We start from the raw sequence: 15,338 nt of genomic DNA, 5'->3' as shown, positions 1-15,338 counted from the left end.
CGGTAAACATTTCCATAAAAACATTTTACTTAATAAGAAAAAAACCAAACAACATCCAATCAGTCAAATAACATTCTATTCTTTAGAATAAGAAATGCTGTTTTATCCCTCAATCTAAAAACACTGTATACCAGCTAAAATAGAATAGATTTTTTTTAAATCCAAAATTAGGCCTGCTTCATCCTCTCACTTCTAGAAATGGTAATTTCTAATCCAAGTTCTTTACCTCAAATCTTTTTATTATGTACAACTTTACATTTACAGTGATTTTTAAACTATTTTAAAATCATTAGAAATTACTGGCTTTTTTCCAGACATCTTTAATAGTTAAGTCTGTACACTCTATTAAGAGACACGAAAATGAAAGGAGACAGTAAGTGACCACTCCCTTCTTGGCTCACCCTCCTTCACTCCTCCAAGGAGATCTAGAAAAGTCAGCTTGTTCCTTAGATTCACACATGTTGGGAAGGAAGCTGGGCAGAACTAAAACAGAGGCTAAAAGGAGGTGAGAGCCCAGCCCTGCCCACCTCCATCAGCAGGGAGTTCAGAGACAGCCAGCACTCATCTCCCAGCTTCACAGGGTGGTGAACAATGCCTGGGTGAGAAGGGGCTGCTGGCCCACGGTGGAAGCAAAGCCATCTCACAAGAAGAGGCTTTCTAACCAAGACCTGAAAGGAGGGGCTGGCCCTGGGCAGGACCTCCAAGGAAGAGTATCCATGCAGCATGGGCAGGGGACCTAGAAAGGTCAGGAAATGAGCCTGGCCTGTTGCCTGGGCAGAGGGACCCACTGTGTTCCAATCCTGGGATCAAGAGGAAAAGCGGGGGATGATGAAGTCTGAGAGTAGCAGGGATCAGGTCTAATCTGGCAGCTTTCAAGTAATGCTGTCAGTATTGTAAAACAGCAGGCAATATATTTCAAGAGCTGTAAAACGTTCACACTCTTTAACCCGGTAACCTCACTCCAGGAAATAGAGCCTAAGAAACTAATTCACTAAATAAAAAACATTAGAAGCATAAAAAGGATCACGGTAGACTCCTAAGGGAAAAAAATAAATTACGGAGATAGACACAGCCACTACGCTGTACTGTGGAGAAACAGAAAAAGCTTAGGATAAAGTATTAAACAAAAGCATTTCAGAATACAATATCATATATACCCAACTATGTAAAACTTTGTGGTAAAAGGCTGGAAAGAAAAAGGCAAAGGTCAACATAGTTGTAATCAGAGTGGTGGAATTATGCCTTAAAAATCCTCTTTTAAAAGAAAAAAACCTAATGAAAAGCTGAAGAAGTACTATTATAAACCATACCTACACTCTGGTCACCTCTCTGCTACAGCACTTTGGACAAACTACCGTTCTTTTACATATATGTCTCTCCAACAGGACAAGGGGCACAGCTTACGCATCTTCACGTCAAGGGTCTAGCTTGGTGCTGGCAGCCAGCAAGCACCAAAAAAAATTAAAAACTGCCCCAGTTTGGTGTTGCATTTCATGGTTCCCCAAAGATTCCTTAAATTAGCAAATTAAAACTAGTAAGATACAGTCTATCCAGTACAGGCCAATATGCAGTAGAACCTCATAAAACAAAGGTGGTAGCCGGGCGCAGTGGCTCACACCTGTAATCCCAGCACTTTGGGAGGCTAAGGTGGGTGATCACCTGAGGTCAAGGAGTGTGAGACTAGCCTGGCCAAAATGGTGAAACCCCGACTCTACTAAAAATACAAAAAAATTAGCCAGGCGTGGTGGCGGGCGCCTATAATCCCAGCTACCCGGGAGGCTGAGGCAGGAGAATCTCTTGAACCTGGGAGGCAGAGGTTGCAGTGAGTCAAGATCACACCACTGCACTCCAGCCTGGGCGACAAGAGCGAAACTCCGTCTCAAAAAAAAAAGAAACCAAAAAAAATACAAAAAAACAAAGGTGGCATGTGGGGCTTTTCATAATTACCTCCTTCCTCCACCCATAACAGAATTACCTATTCACTGAGAACACTTGACTTTAGATTGGCATTAAAAAGCAAACAATAATTCAGTACAACTCTAATTTGCAAATGATTAACCATACCATAATCCTTCCCAAAACCAGACAGAGCATTAAACAAACATCTGACTGCTAGAATTTGTGTCCTAAAACAAAAGATAAAGGACCACACCCATGAACACAGCTTCACACCTGCAGCAAAGGTAGGACCACTCCCAACCTGGCCTCAGTCCATCTTTCCTATCCCAAGTCTCCTGAGTAAAGAGGGTCGGGGGGAGGGAAATCGGAGTCTACGCTCCAGCTCTGCCCCAGATACCCAACCTGCCAGGACAACCTCCCCAACAACCAATGTAAAATCTCAGATCTCTACATTCCTTCAACTTCTAAAATTCTAGAACTCTTCCCTCTCGTTAAAATTAATTGTGCTTTTATCTGAGGAAATGCAACCTGGCATTAAAAACCACAAGAGTAACAGAGAGGATGTCCTTTTCCATGGGTGAATAATGGAAGTGTGGTTCCACAGTTATTCAATGGGGGAAAAGGGGGGGGGGGGTGACAGCAGATCTGGCAAAGAAAATCACAAAAAACTCTGAATGAAAGAGTTCAAAGTCGATTGCCTAGGGGTGGTAGCAACAAGATGACTCAGCATTTGTCGAAACTCATACAATTGTACATCACACAGAATAAACTTTAATGTATGCAAATGAAAAAACAAATCAACCTGGGTGTCAGGGGATGCCAGGATAGAATGCAGACTGACAAATCTATAAAATTGTATTATAAAATGTATGAAATAGCCTCACTGAAACTGGTTGGGGAAAAGGAACTGCCTGAGTACCTGGGAAACAGTGCACTCGACTTGTGTAAGTATGCCTCCCAGAATCTGTGTTAACAATTCTGAAATTACTTTGCAGGAACACTAGGGTTAAAGCAAATGCCGTATGAGCCAGGTCCTCACTGTCAGAGAAAGAAACTACAAATAATCATGCAAAAGGAGAAGGCTAGAATGAACCTCATGGTGCTGCATTAGCCATGAGACATCAGTGAGAACCGGTGTTCAGGTGAAAATACACACATAGGTGGGTACAGAAACAATGGAAGATCTGGTGTTCACACAGATCTCCTTACACGGACCCCCAAGCAGCAGTAGCACCTGTAGCTGTCAGCTATGAGGGCCTAGACACAGAGACACCCCAGCAGCAGGACCCCACCAGTGCCCAGACCAAGGTTTCCAGGCACCTTCTCCATAACAAAGAACCGGGGCTTCTCTTTGGAAACAGCTGACACTGGAGCAGGAAAACACAAGGTGCACCTAAAGCATCTCGTAGGTCCAGAAAGCAAGGAAGCACTCCCAAAACAAAAGGATGGCATGTGTCACACGGGCCAACCCAAGAGAGCTCCCAAAGCCAGAGCCAGGACAATGCAAGCAAGGATAAGGCAGAACTGGATATAACCCCAAATGAATTAGTTATGACCCTATAAAAAGAGGACAGGAGCCCATAATGATATAAATAAATGATTAAATGAAGGGGGAAGAGACACATTTTCCCTACAGAAGAATTCAAATAATACCATACAATTTTCCCCCCAGTAGGTAGAGTTTAACCCTATCCCCTTTGAATGTGGACTGGACTCATCTACTGCTTCCAAAGTATGAGGATGTTATAAATAAGCGAAAGGAAAACTGGTCACTGCAGAGCAAACACCCACAGAGAGCTCCTTACCCAAGCAACCAAGGTCAGCGTCATCCAGTGCTAAGCCGAGTCAATGCCACGTGCCATGTGGGGTGCTGAGAAGCGCCCTGCACCTCTGGGCTATTCTTTTCCCAAACACACAGCCATAATTTAATATAGAGAAAGCATCAGACAAACCCAAATCGGGGACATTCTATAAAACACCTGATTAGTACTCCTCAGAAGTGTCAAGATCACCAAAGACAAACAGAAAAGCTGCCCCAGAAGACAGGGGATGGAGGACACTAGAGGTCCTGACCAGGGTCCCGGAACAGAAAAGGACACTGGTGGGAAACAGATGAAATCCAAATGAAGTCCATAATGAAGTTCACAGTAGTCTACCAAGGGTATTTTCTTGGTTTAGATCACTGTGCCAGCTAGCAGGAAGTGAACATTCCCTGGAAGCTGAGTGAGGGATATTTGGGAAGTCTGTACTATCTTTGTAAATTTTCTATAAAATTATTCCAAATAAGTTTATTTTTCTAAAAAAAAAGAGTCAATATTCTAGAAGACAATACATCAGCTGAAAGACTATTTCAAACCACTTTATTAGATGAACAAAGTATAACAGGCACGTGAAAAATAAATCCTGGCCTAAAGGCAAGTTTCAAAAAGCCTATTATATAAAAACAGAAATCTTCCCACAGGTAGTCCAGTTGAAAGAAACAAGAAAACCTACAAAGTATGGAATTTGGTTACCAATTAATTTATGAGTGAATAAATGCAGTCAAACTACTAAGAATATTCGTAAGAGGCCCAATAAACAATTCCTTAAGATTTAAGTCAAGGAAAGCCTGGTTAAAAATCTGATCAAGGATATGAGCAGGGGTAAAAAGACAATACAATGCAAGGTTTGGGTGGGAATGGAAAAAAGATTCTGGGTTGCATCAAAATAACTTACAAGGCAGTTATTTAATTAAGAATAAACGTTAAGTACTGGGCTGAAGCTTTGGTCTGACAGACTTGAGCTCCCCTGCTGTTCATCTGGTCTTCTGAAGCTCCTTCCTGTTTTCCCTTCTCCTATACTAAGCTACTCTCTCACTCTTATTTATCTGCTTCTTCTCTTCCCTGGCCTTCCAATGCCTGGCTTGGACTGGGCATAATACAATGAAATGTGTACTTCTAGTTCTTAATGTTAATTTCAGAAGTGGGTTAAAACTATTAAACGCAATGTTCAGATTATTTGATTTTGAACCCCCTCGAAGAACAAAATGACGTAAAAAATTAAGCCCTGAAAACACTTACTTACAGGTAGCCCTTCAAAGGGGGTAAAGTCATCCACCAGAGGTAAATCAGACTTCGAACTATGAGCTGCCTCCTTGCTGAAAGTCCCAGGCTAGTAGCCACTGAAAGTATCTGCCATTTTAAAAGCACCAGGCCTTGATTAATTTTTGTCATGGCTACCATTTCCACTCTATCAAAATGCAGGCTTCAAGATCAAGGAAGTGAAACTCTAAAACTCCTTCTGTAAACAACCCCGAGGAGCATTAGGCTTCAGCTCTTGTGAAGTGATGAGGGGGCTAGTGTCCAATACAACACTCTAACCTGGGGCAGCCAGGATGGGAATCACAACACTTCTCAGCTTCTTCCTCCCTGTCTACCCCCTCCCCAAGAAATATGGTAGGTGTCATTAGTGTTGACAAGTTTAAGAAGTGGCAAAAGGGCCCGTTTCTGGTCTCAAGAAAGTACTCTGTACTTCGATTTACAATGATAACTTTATGCCACTATAAATTTACCAAATATACCTAGGTAAATCTTTTTATCTCAGTAGTTTTACATTTCATCATTAAAAAGGCAGATATATCAAAACTCAGGACTTTTACAAAGAATAATGACTTAAAAACTCCCAAACTTACTTGGCAAGTATAATTGTTTATTAATTCTGAAACACAGCTACAGGAAGACCCCATAAGAAGAAAAACTTGACACTGTTACTTACTCCTAGTTTCCAGTGAAAAAACACTCTACAATGAGGTTTGTGTCTCTGGCACCAGGTAGGTGAACTCCACTGCCTACTTTAATACTTTCTGTACTTCCATTTCCTCATCTGTAAGAATAATAGTATTCCTCTATCTCATAGGGTAGCTGCGATGATTAAATATACTACATGTAAACAGCTCAGAAGCATTCACAAATAATAAGCGCTTGACAAATGTCAGTTACTATGTACTTTTAAGGAAGCTATGTAAAAAGGTTTCTTTATACTTTTCACACAGGACCTGAAACACTATGGGTTCTCATACATACATTTTCTGACACTAGGAAAACATACCGTTAATGTGGTTTTTCTTCAGAATAATTTTACACCAGTTCAGGGAACAATGTGACACATCCTCCAGCCAGCTAGCTGATTTAGAAGATATAAAACAACCTGACATAAGAGCGTATAGGTCCACCTAAATTATTTTGTTTTAAAAAACAACTACCAAAAAGGCAGTCTTCAGCCTCTTCCCAATGGGCAGTCAATAGGTATGAAATGGGAAAAACTAACACTGAAGCTTCTGTTCCCTACTCTAGTCCAACTGAAGAATAAGAACATTAAAAAAAGTCAACTCCAATTTGGTGGCAGATTTTTGTTGCTGTTTAAAGGGCAATTTAAATGTTATGACACATAGCAGCAATGCCTCTAAAAAGAAATCTCTCTCTTCAGGTAAGCTGAAATCATAGCTGAATAAGCTTATCTTATATATCTCATTTAGAATAAATGAGAATTGGGTACAGTGATCTTAAAAACAAGGAAAAACATTTCTTAAAATAAGGGAGTGGGACATGAAAAGATGCTCAACTTCACTCATTATTACAGAAATATAAATCAAAACCACAATGAGACACTGAATACCTCACACCCATTAGGATGGCTACTATTTTTTTAAAAAAAAGAAAATAACAAATGTCAACAAGAATATATGGAGAAAAACAGATTCCTTGTGCATTGCTGGTGGGAATGTAAAACAGCGTGGCCTCTTGGGAAATCGTATGGTGATTCCTCAAAAAACTGAACGCAGAACTACCCTAAGATACAGCAATTACACTTCCAGGTTGAAAAAATGGGTCCGAAGAGATGTCGGTACATTCATGTTCACAGCAGCACCATTTACAATGACAAAAAGGATGAAACCCAAGTGTCCACCCACTGATGAATGGATAAACAAAATGTGGTCTATCCAATACAACAGAATGTTATTGAGCCTTAAGGAGGAAATTCTGACACGTTACAACATGTATGAACCTTGAAGACATTGTGTTAAATGCAATAAACCAGACACAAAATTACATATACTATACGATCTCATTATATGAGGCTCATAGGGTAGACAACTTCAGAGACAGAGAGGAGAATGGTGGTTACCAGGAGCTGGGGCATGGAAGAAATGGGGAATTACAGTTTAGTGGGTACACAGTTCCAGTTTGGGATGAGGAAAAAATTCTGGGAATGGATGGTGGTGATGGTTATACAACAATGTGAATATACTTAATGCCACCGGGGACAGGCGTGGTGGCTCACACCTATAATCTCAGTACTTTGGGAGGCCAAGGGTGGTGGGTCACTTGAGGTCAGGAGTTCAAGACCAGCCTGGCCAAGATGGTGAAACCCTGTCTCTACTAAAAATACAAAAATTAGCTGGGTGTGGTGGCAGGCGCACGCCTGTAATCCCAGCTACTCAGGAGGCTGAGGCAGAACTGCTTGCACCCGGGAGGCAGAGGTTGCAGTGGGCTGAGATCACGCTACTGCGCTACAGCCTTGGTGACAGAGCGAGACTCCATCTCAAAAAAATATATATACTTAATGCCACTGAACTGTACATTTAAAAATGGTTAAATTGGTAAATTTTATGTTAGGTGTATTTTACCACAATTTTAAGAAACAATAATAATAAAAAGAAGGGTATCTCCCTGTCTTCTCAGAAGGCCTAGGTGCTTTGGCTCCAAAATTAACTTCCTACTTGTAAAAAGGCAGAGTTTTCCTTTTCCTTTGATTAACGACAATTAGGATGTATGTAATAGTTTGTATCTGCCAGGCTGTATCAAAGGGTGACACTTCTTTTTGGCTTTCGCAATCTCTTTAGCACACACTGCTTGTGATGTGATCACAGTCTGGTTCAATGGTTATTCAATAATACAGGTTAGGTGTCCTTTACTGAAACACTTAAGACAAGAAGTGTTTTGGATTTCAGGCTTTTTCAAGTTTTGGAATATTTGTTATTATGCTTACCAGTTGAACATTCTAAATTCAAAAATCAAAAATCCAAAATGCTCCAGTGAGCATTTCCTTTGTGCATCATGCTGGTGCTCAAAAAGTTTTGAATTTTGGAGCATTTCAGATTTGGGATGTTCGAATTATAAAACTGCTTGATTTTTCCCTCTAAAAATATTAATAATAATAAAGGAGTGATGTCATAAAAGAAATGCAAATTAAACTTTACAAACTTTAAAAATAAAAAAATACAATGATAAAAGGAAGAAACACACACATTATTTGTATTCAGAATCTATTTAGCCTACTCTAGTAATCTAATGACTCAGCTAAATCCTAGTAATATCATTCTTATTAAAATACCATTCCAAAATCTAAAACATAAAATTTCAATTTTCATAATTTAGGAAAAAGAACCACAGGTTGATACTATTTATTTCAAGATAGTAACACTTGCAAACTCTTCATAGGTCCAGGAAATTAAAACACCTCATCCATGGAGTCTAGTGACCCCCTCCAACAGTCTGGGCTGGCTTGTTACTACTATTCATAAATGTGCTCTACCTCAGAGGATGAATGATGTACTTCAGACCTGTGAAGTCAACCCTCCAGCAATAAACCCTCTAGTATACTTTCCTGCACTAACCAGTAAAACACCAACATGGTAAATTCATCCTTTCAAGAAAGTTAATTGATTCCAGAGACAACTGAGAAATGCCAAATGACTGGCGCATAAAAGTACCGTTTCTAAATCACAGATCCTAAACTCCATAATGCAGATTGACCATCACCTCTACAAATACTGCAGTGGGTCAAGTTCAACTCTTTTACACTGTCCCCTAAGATGCCTAGAAACAATGTGTGATAAAGCCAGGTGTAACAAGAGGAAAGGTGGCTAAATGCAGCCCATTTCCTGAAGCAGTCACCCATTTTATGCCCTCAACACATCTCCTAAGTTAAGAAGCATAAAAGGTTTACTCAAAGATAAAAGCTCTGCACCAGGTGGCCAAGCTGACACCAGTGATTTTGGAATTAACTCTAGGGGGACTTTAAAACTTCTGCTTCCTACCATCTTTCTGCCATCACACTTCCTTGCCTGTAACTGGTGATTCATATCCATTTATCAAATATTTTCTGAGCATGTACTACACACCAAGCATCGCTCTAAGAGCTGGATAACAGGCAAGGTCTTCATCAGATTTACTTCTAGAGAAAACATAAAAATAAGCAAAAATAGGGCCAGGCATAGTGGCTAATGCCTGTAATCCCAGCACTTTGGGAGGCCAGGGCGGGTGGATCACGAGGTCAGGAGTCCGAGACCAGCCTGGCCAACATAGTGAAACCCTGTCTCTACTAAAAATACAAAAATTAGCTGGGCATGGCGTGCCTGTAATCCCAGCTACTTGGGAGGCTGAGGCAGGACAATCACTTGAACCTGGGAGGTGGAGGTTGCAGTCAGCTGAGATTGTGTCACTGCACTCCAGGTTGGGCAACAGAGTGAGACTTCATCTCAAAAAAAAGCGAAAAGGAAATAAACGATGAACTATATGGAGACATTTAGATAATTTAAGAATATTTTTATCTGAACTGTGATTCATTTAAATGCCTGTTTTATTTAGAAAATTCTGCCTATAAATCTACTGGAAAGTAGTCTAAGTTTTCAAATCCTAAAATCTCTCTTCTTCATGTTACGCGATATTTGACATTTATTCCTATGGTGTAGTGCTTATTAAGGTTGGAATGTGTAATATGTGTTAATTAGTTTCTTCCTATTCATATAAATTTCAGAAAACTAAAATGAAGAACAATGTCGATCTAAACATGTTAGACATAGGAGGAAGTATACCTGCGTGTATTTTGATTCAGAAAATTAAGTTGTAGTTTTGATTACTTTCTTCCTGGTGTACTTGGACATCTCTATCGCAAACATTTATATGACTTTACAAAGGCATAAAGCTTATAATTCTTTGATTTGCTCATACCAAGATTTCCTTACCTTGGCACTACTGGTATTTTAGGCCACATTATTCTTTGCTATGGGGGCTGTTCTGTGCACTGTAGAATGTTTGGCAGCATCCTTGGCCTCCACCCAATAGATGCCTTCAGTTAACATCCTCCCCCAGCTGTGACAACCAAAAATGCCTCCAGGCACTGCCAAATGTCCCCTGCCAAATGTCTCAACTGTCAACCCTACTTGAGAGCCACTCACAGGTCTTCACTGAGTAAACATATTGTTCTACAGTATTAAAGAAAGTTCCAAACAAGAAAAAAAGGATTTAAATGAACCTCCTCAACCCAGAGGCTATAGGCTCCCTGAAGGTTTCCTTCCTTTCCTGTTCTGTTCACTCCTCCAGGCCTGGGCATTAACAGGTGCTCAAACATTTGCTGAAAGGAGAATCAATCACCATTGGGAACCAGTCAGAAAAGAGAGTATGAGAAATTTAAGATTAAAAAAACAAAACAAAACTTAAGTAATGGCCATTGATCCAGATTTTGAAATAATTTAATTTGTCTGGCTATATAATGGAATGCAGCAAATATTCTGATTAGAGTTGAGTGCCTATGCTAAGCATAATGGGGTACAAGAGGAGTAAAACAGTCCCTGGCCTCAAGGAGCCTACGGGTGGCTGGGGGAGGTAAATATGCAGTTATGCAGGTAGGTGCAATACAACAGACTAGAATGTCCACTGCAAACATACACCATGCTGTGTGTGTATTCCCAGTCCACTTTTTCAAATATCAAGAGATTCCATGAAGAAGGCTGGCATTTGACATGGGCTTTGAAGTGTAAGTAAAATTTTGATGAGCAAAAGTAGGACACAGTACAGTAGTTAAACAAGAGGGAATGACATAAGCAGAAACTGGATATTTCTTGGGGAAATAGTGACCAGTTGGGTTGGGAACATTTTAAAAAGTACAGTAGAGGGATTGTGAAACATTAAGTAAGGTCAAATGAGTTCAGGTCGCAGGAAGGTCTACAAGTCTGAATAAGGAATTTGGACTTAATGGTTTTGTTCAAGTCCCAACAGGAGAGTGACCTCCCTGAAGATGTGGCCGTCTACCCTGCCAAAGCTGTGCAAGATTAGTTCCACTGGGGCGCGGGGGTAGGTGCAGAGGCCATTCTTACTGCTACCCACAGTAATACAAAAGTGTAATGACATGGAATTTACCTATAGTATATGCCTTGCATTCTATTTTTCATTCTATTTTACTCCGTTATTTTTAAGTAATGGCAAACATCCAATAATTTGGTTTCACAACCCACTGAAGGGTTTGCAAAGCATTTCTTCGACCTTTTGGATAAATATGGTGAATTCAAATGTTGGGGGTACTGGAAAAAAGGAAGAGTATAACAGTTAAGTAGGAGACTACTGAGCCAGAATTGGCCTGGTGTGTCATTATTCTAGGGACTGGGAGGATGGGATGCTGGAATACCAAGCATGACTCTATGGTGGTAGAGGGTGTAACTCTGAAGTGAATGATCATGAAGTTCAAGCTAGTTACAGCTAAAAAGGAAGCCAACAGAATGGGAAAAGAGAAATGGCGGAAGGCAAGCAGGGGACAGACGGTGGGAGCGGCAAGGAGTGACAGGGACACAGCGTTCAGAAGTGTTAAAGGTGGGGTCACTTTTCTCACTAATTATACGGTCCAAGCTCTGGAGTATCTAAAGTGCAATTAGAAATTCACTCCAGTTGCAGAATCAGGATGCCAGATGAGAGAGGTGAAGAGTCAGTGTCTGTGTTGATGGGACACAGTATAAATAATATATAAGAATGTAAAACCAGGTGCTGAAGTGTTTGAGGACAGTGAGGCTGTGCCTTGGAAATGGTGAGATGTCAAATAAACATGTGGGTTAGCACTCACCTCAAAATATGTAATATTGAGAAGTATATAATGAAGAATATACTATGGAAGTGGCCAAGAGGATTGTGGCATTTAAGGAAACATCATATTGCAGTAACCCCAGGAAATGGAAGCATTTTGATCATTGAAAAAGGTTCAAGGAGGCAGACAGGAAAAGACAGAGTGGTTTTTGATAGGTTTAATTTTAAAGTAAAAAAAAAAAAAAGGAAGAGATTTAGATGACCATGATAATTGTTGATAAAGATCAGTGCTCAAATAACAAATTGGTGGCACAAGAGCTGAAGCTAACTTAGAACCAAGTTTTCCTTCGCTTGGCATTTTTAAAATGGAATAATTTTTTTAAAAATCTGGGTTTCTGGCTTTCTTGCAAAGTCTGAAGTTCTGGTAATGTTGACTCTATGGTCCTACGTGGCTTTTAAAATGTGCATACCTTTAGCTCTACTGTGTGTATATATCATGTGTATACCATCTGTCGGGGTTGGATAAATTATGGAATACTATTTAGGGACTGAAAAGACTTAGAGCTCTAAGTATAGACATGGAAAGATTTCTTACAAATAAAAAAGCAAACTGCTGAATAACGTATAGTGCAATCACATTAATGTGAAAAAATGGAACTATATTATAATAATATATATTATATAACTTATGACATAAAATATATGGCCTACACAGCCACTGTGGAAAATATATGGCCATTCCTTAAAAAGAAAAACAGAATTACCATATGACCCAGCAATCCTACTTCTGAGTATATACCCAAAAGAACTGAAAGCAGGAACTCGAACAGCTCTTTGTATACTATGCTCATAGAAGCATTATTCATTATTCCCAATAGTCAAAAAGTGGAAGCAACCCAAGTATCCACCAGTGGATGAATGGATAAACAAAATGTGGTACATATACACAGTGGAGTATTACTTAGCCTTAAAAGTTAAGGAAATTCTGACACAATCTACAACATGAAAGAAGCTTGAAGACATTATGCTATGTGAATTAAACTAGTGACAAAAGTAGTACAACAGAGAAATATATACAGTGACTAGTTTGAGGTATAATATGGTCAGTTTTGAACCTTAAAAATCTTCCAGTCAATTAAAGGTCCTTAAGAATAAGATGTACTGTCAGTGTCCAGGATCTACTGATGGACATTTTTCTTCTGAATAGCAACATGACTGTTCCTATCCTAACTAGAAAACATAGCTGAAGCAGTTAGCTATCGTAATTGACCTGGGGGTGAGAATTGTAGGTAGGCACACCCACAAAGTATTCTTACACAAAGAAGCTGAACTTTGACTTTAGCACTCCACTTCCGTCTTGAGGTTACTAATGACTTGTCCCCAGATGTCACTTAATCACTAGATCCTGTTTTTACACATGAAAAATGGGGTAACAAAGCACTCTGAGGATTAAATGAGATGGAATATGTGAGAAAGGATCTAGCAAGCACCTGGTCTGATACCAGTTCATTCTCTTCCCCCATCAAGTATACATGAAGGGAGACCATCATCTCTAAATACAAACATGTAATTATGCTAACCATGAAAATTCTAAACCATAGTCTAACCTCACATTCTTCCACTGACTTATAGCATGAACGCCATTTTATGTAAGAGCATTATTTAACAAAATTCCAATGGAAGCAAATTCAGAAGATCTGAAGGACTTTATTATAAACCCTTACACTGATACCACAAGTCATATAGCAGAAACATTTATGAAAGCTCCAGTGACTTCATGCCACTAAGATTTTAAAATAAACATAAGTCATTCACTGAAGTTTCAAAGGTTATAATGACCCAAGGCACACAAGAAGAAACACTGTCCAAGTAACTAGCTAAAGCCAAGTTCAAATTAGGCTATTTTAGGACCTACACAAAACTAGTCAATACATAGGCCAAAGTATTATTATTTTCATTGTTCTGGCTGTCTTTCCATGTAGACCAACTTCTAATGGTTAAAGAAATACAATTACTACTACTGAACAAAAAAATACAATTACTACTCTGTAAAAGAAATAATCTCTAAATCAAAAAAGATTTCTCCTGGCCAGGCGCAGTGGCTCACGCCCGTAATCCCAGCACTTTGGGAGGCCGAGGCAGGTGGATCACGAGGTCAGGAGCTCAAGACCAGCCTGGCCAAGATGGTGAAACCCCGCCTCTACTAAAAATACAAAGATTAGCCAGGCATGATGGCAGGCGCCTATAATCCCAGCTACTAGGGAGGCTGAGGTAGGAGAATCGCTTGAACCCAGGAGGTGGAGGTTGCAGTGAGCCGAGATCGCGCCACTGCACTCCAGCCTGAGAGACAGAGTGAGACTCCATCTCAAAAAAAAAAAAGATTTCTCTAAGCAAAGGTAACAGGAAATTATGCCCCTCTGCCAATTTACAAAACACTAGAAAGCACCAATAAGATGCTTAAAGTTTTTATAAATGTCTCATTTACTCAACATTATATATACTGAATTGTTCATGTCAATTCCTTTGCCAGTGGTTTTTACTTAATCTTAAAAAAATTATCATATGATAAAATTAACACATTTACTTTGGATGAATAGTTCTGATTTTAATGTATGGTAGCATCACCACCATCAGAATACAGAACAGTTCCATCACTCCACAAAGATCTCTCCTGCTGTCCCCTTTATGTGTACATCCTTCCCCTCCTCTACTCTCAGCACCACTGAATTGGTCCCTATCACTATAGTTTTATAATCATCCCTTTTGAACCTGGCTTCTTTCACTCAGTATAAAACCTTAATTAAATATTCATGCAAGTTGTTACCTACACCAGCAATTCCTTCCTTATTATTGCTAAGTAGTATTCCATAGTATGGCTATACTGTAGTTTAACCATTCACTTATTAAAGGATACTTTGTTTCCACGTTTGGGCTATTATGAATTAAGCTGCTATGGACATTTGAGTACCAGTTTTTGCACAAACAAAAGTCTTCATTAGGAAAATACCCAGGAGTGGAATTGCTGGATCGTATGATAAATGTATGTTTAACTTTATAAGAAAGTGCCACTGTTTTCTGGAGTGGTGGTGCCATTCTGCATTCCCACAAGCAATGTGTAAGGATCCAGTTGCTCAGCATTCTTGCTAGCACTTGGTATTGCTCATATTTTTTTCTCTTTTAGCCATTCTAATAGGCATGTAGTGATATCATGGTTTTAAACGTTTTAACCACTTTATGGGTATCTTTTATTAAATGGTATACACTGTTTCAATCCCTTAAACAGAGAATGCTGAATATTAATTTTTATGACTCAAAATCATCCTTATAGAATAAACATTGTACTACCCTCAGGGACCAAGGAAGTACATAGGGTTGTTTTCCTTTTCTTAAAATAGCCCCAGAATTATGTTTGCTTTTTATAGCTTTTTAAATCTCTCTTGTCACTTCTTGCTATTAATGGTGCTCCTGCCTCTGGCAGACTCTCCTCTTCATCCTCTTCTCAAGCTGAGTTTAGAAAATAGATAACCAAGCTTGTTAGAATTACATATGAAAAGAGGCCAGTCCATGAGTGAGAGAGCTTAAAGGATTCTTCAGTGAGGAAAGCAA

General features: G+C 39.5%; 1 protein-coding gene across 15 annotated transcripts in view, besides 4 other annotated features; it reads right to left on the bottom strand.

The window, feature by feature from the left end:
- Positions 1-15,338, bottom strand: part of FAM120A (family with sequence similarity 120 member A) — a 114,428-nt gene that overhangs the window by 96,333 nt on the left and 2,757 nt on the right. The window lies entirely within an intron of this gene.
- Positions 344-393: an enhancer, noted in NCBI's record as "active region_28623". NCBI's record gives its function as "activates an Ori minimal core promoter by ATAC-STARR-seq in GM12878 lymphoblastoid cells {active_cell/tissue: GM12878}" and the evidence as "EXISTENCE:reporter gene assay evidence [ECO:0000049][PMID:35858748]".
- Positions 474-533: an enhancer, noted in NCBI's record as "active region_28622". NCBI's record gives its function as "activates an Ori minimal core promoter by ATAC-STARR-seq in GM12878 lymphoblastoid cells {active_cell/tissue: GM12878}" and the evidence as "EXISTENCE:reporter gene assay evidence [ECO:0000049][PMID:35858748]".
- Positions 2,572-3,138: an enhancer, noted in NCBI's record as "H3K27ac-H3K4me1 hESC enhancer chr9:96228924-96229490 (GRCh37/hg19 assembly coordinates)". NCBI's record gives its function as "activates a minimal SCP1, AML or CMV promoter by ChIP-STARR-seq in naive H9 embryonic stem cells {active_cell/tissue: H9 hESC(naive)}" and the evidence as "EXISTENCE:reporter gene assay evidence [ECO:0000049][PMID:30033119]".
- Positions 8,706-9,205: an enhancer, noted in NCBI's record as "H3K4me1 hESC enhancer chr9:96222857-96223356 (GRCh37/hg19 assembly coordinates)". NCBI's record gives its function as "activates a minimal SCP1, AML or CMV promoter by ChIP-STARR-seq in primed H9 embryonic stem cells {active_cell/tissue: H9 hESC(primed)}" and the evidence as "EXISTENCE:reporter gene assay evidence [ECO:0000049][PMID:30033119]".

The sequence above is a fragment of the Homo sapiens genome, chromosome 9 (assembly GCF_000001405.40).
Source record: "Homo sapiens chromosome 9, GRCh38.p14 Primary Assembly".
Lineage (NCBI taxonomy): Eukaryota > Metazoa > Chordata > Mammalia > Primates > Hominidae > Homo > Homo sapiens.
Note: the sequence above shows the minus strand (reverse complement) of the source record. Positions and strands in the feature narration are given on the sequence as shown.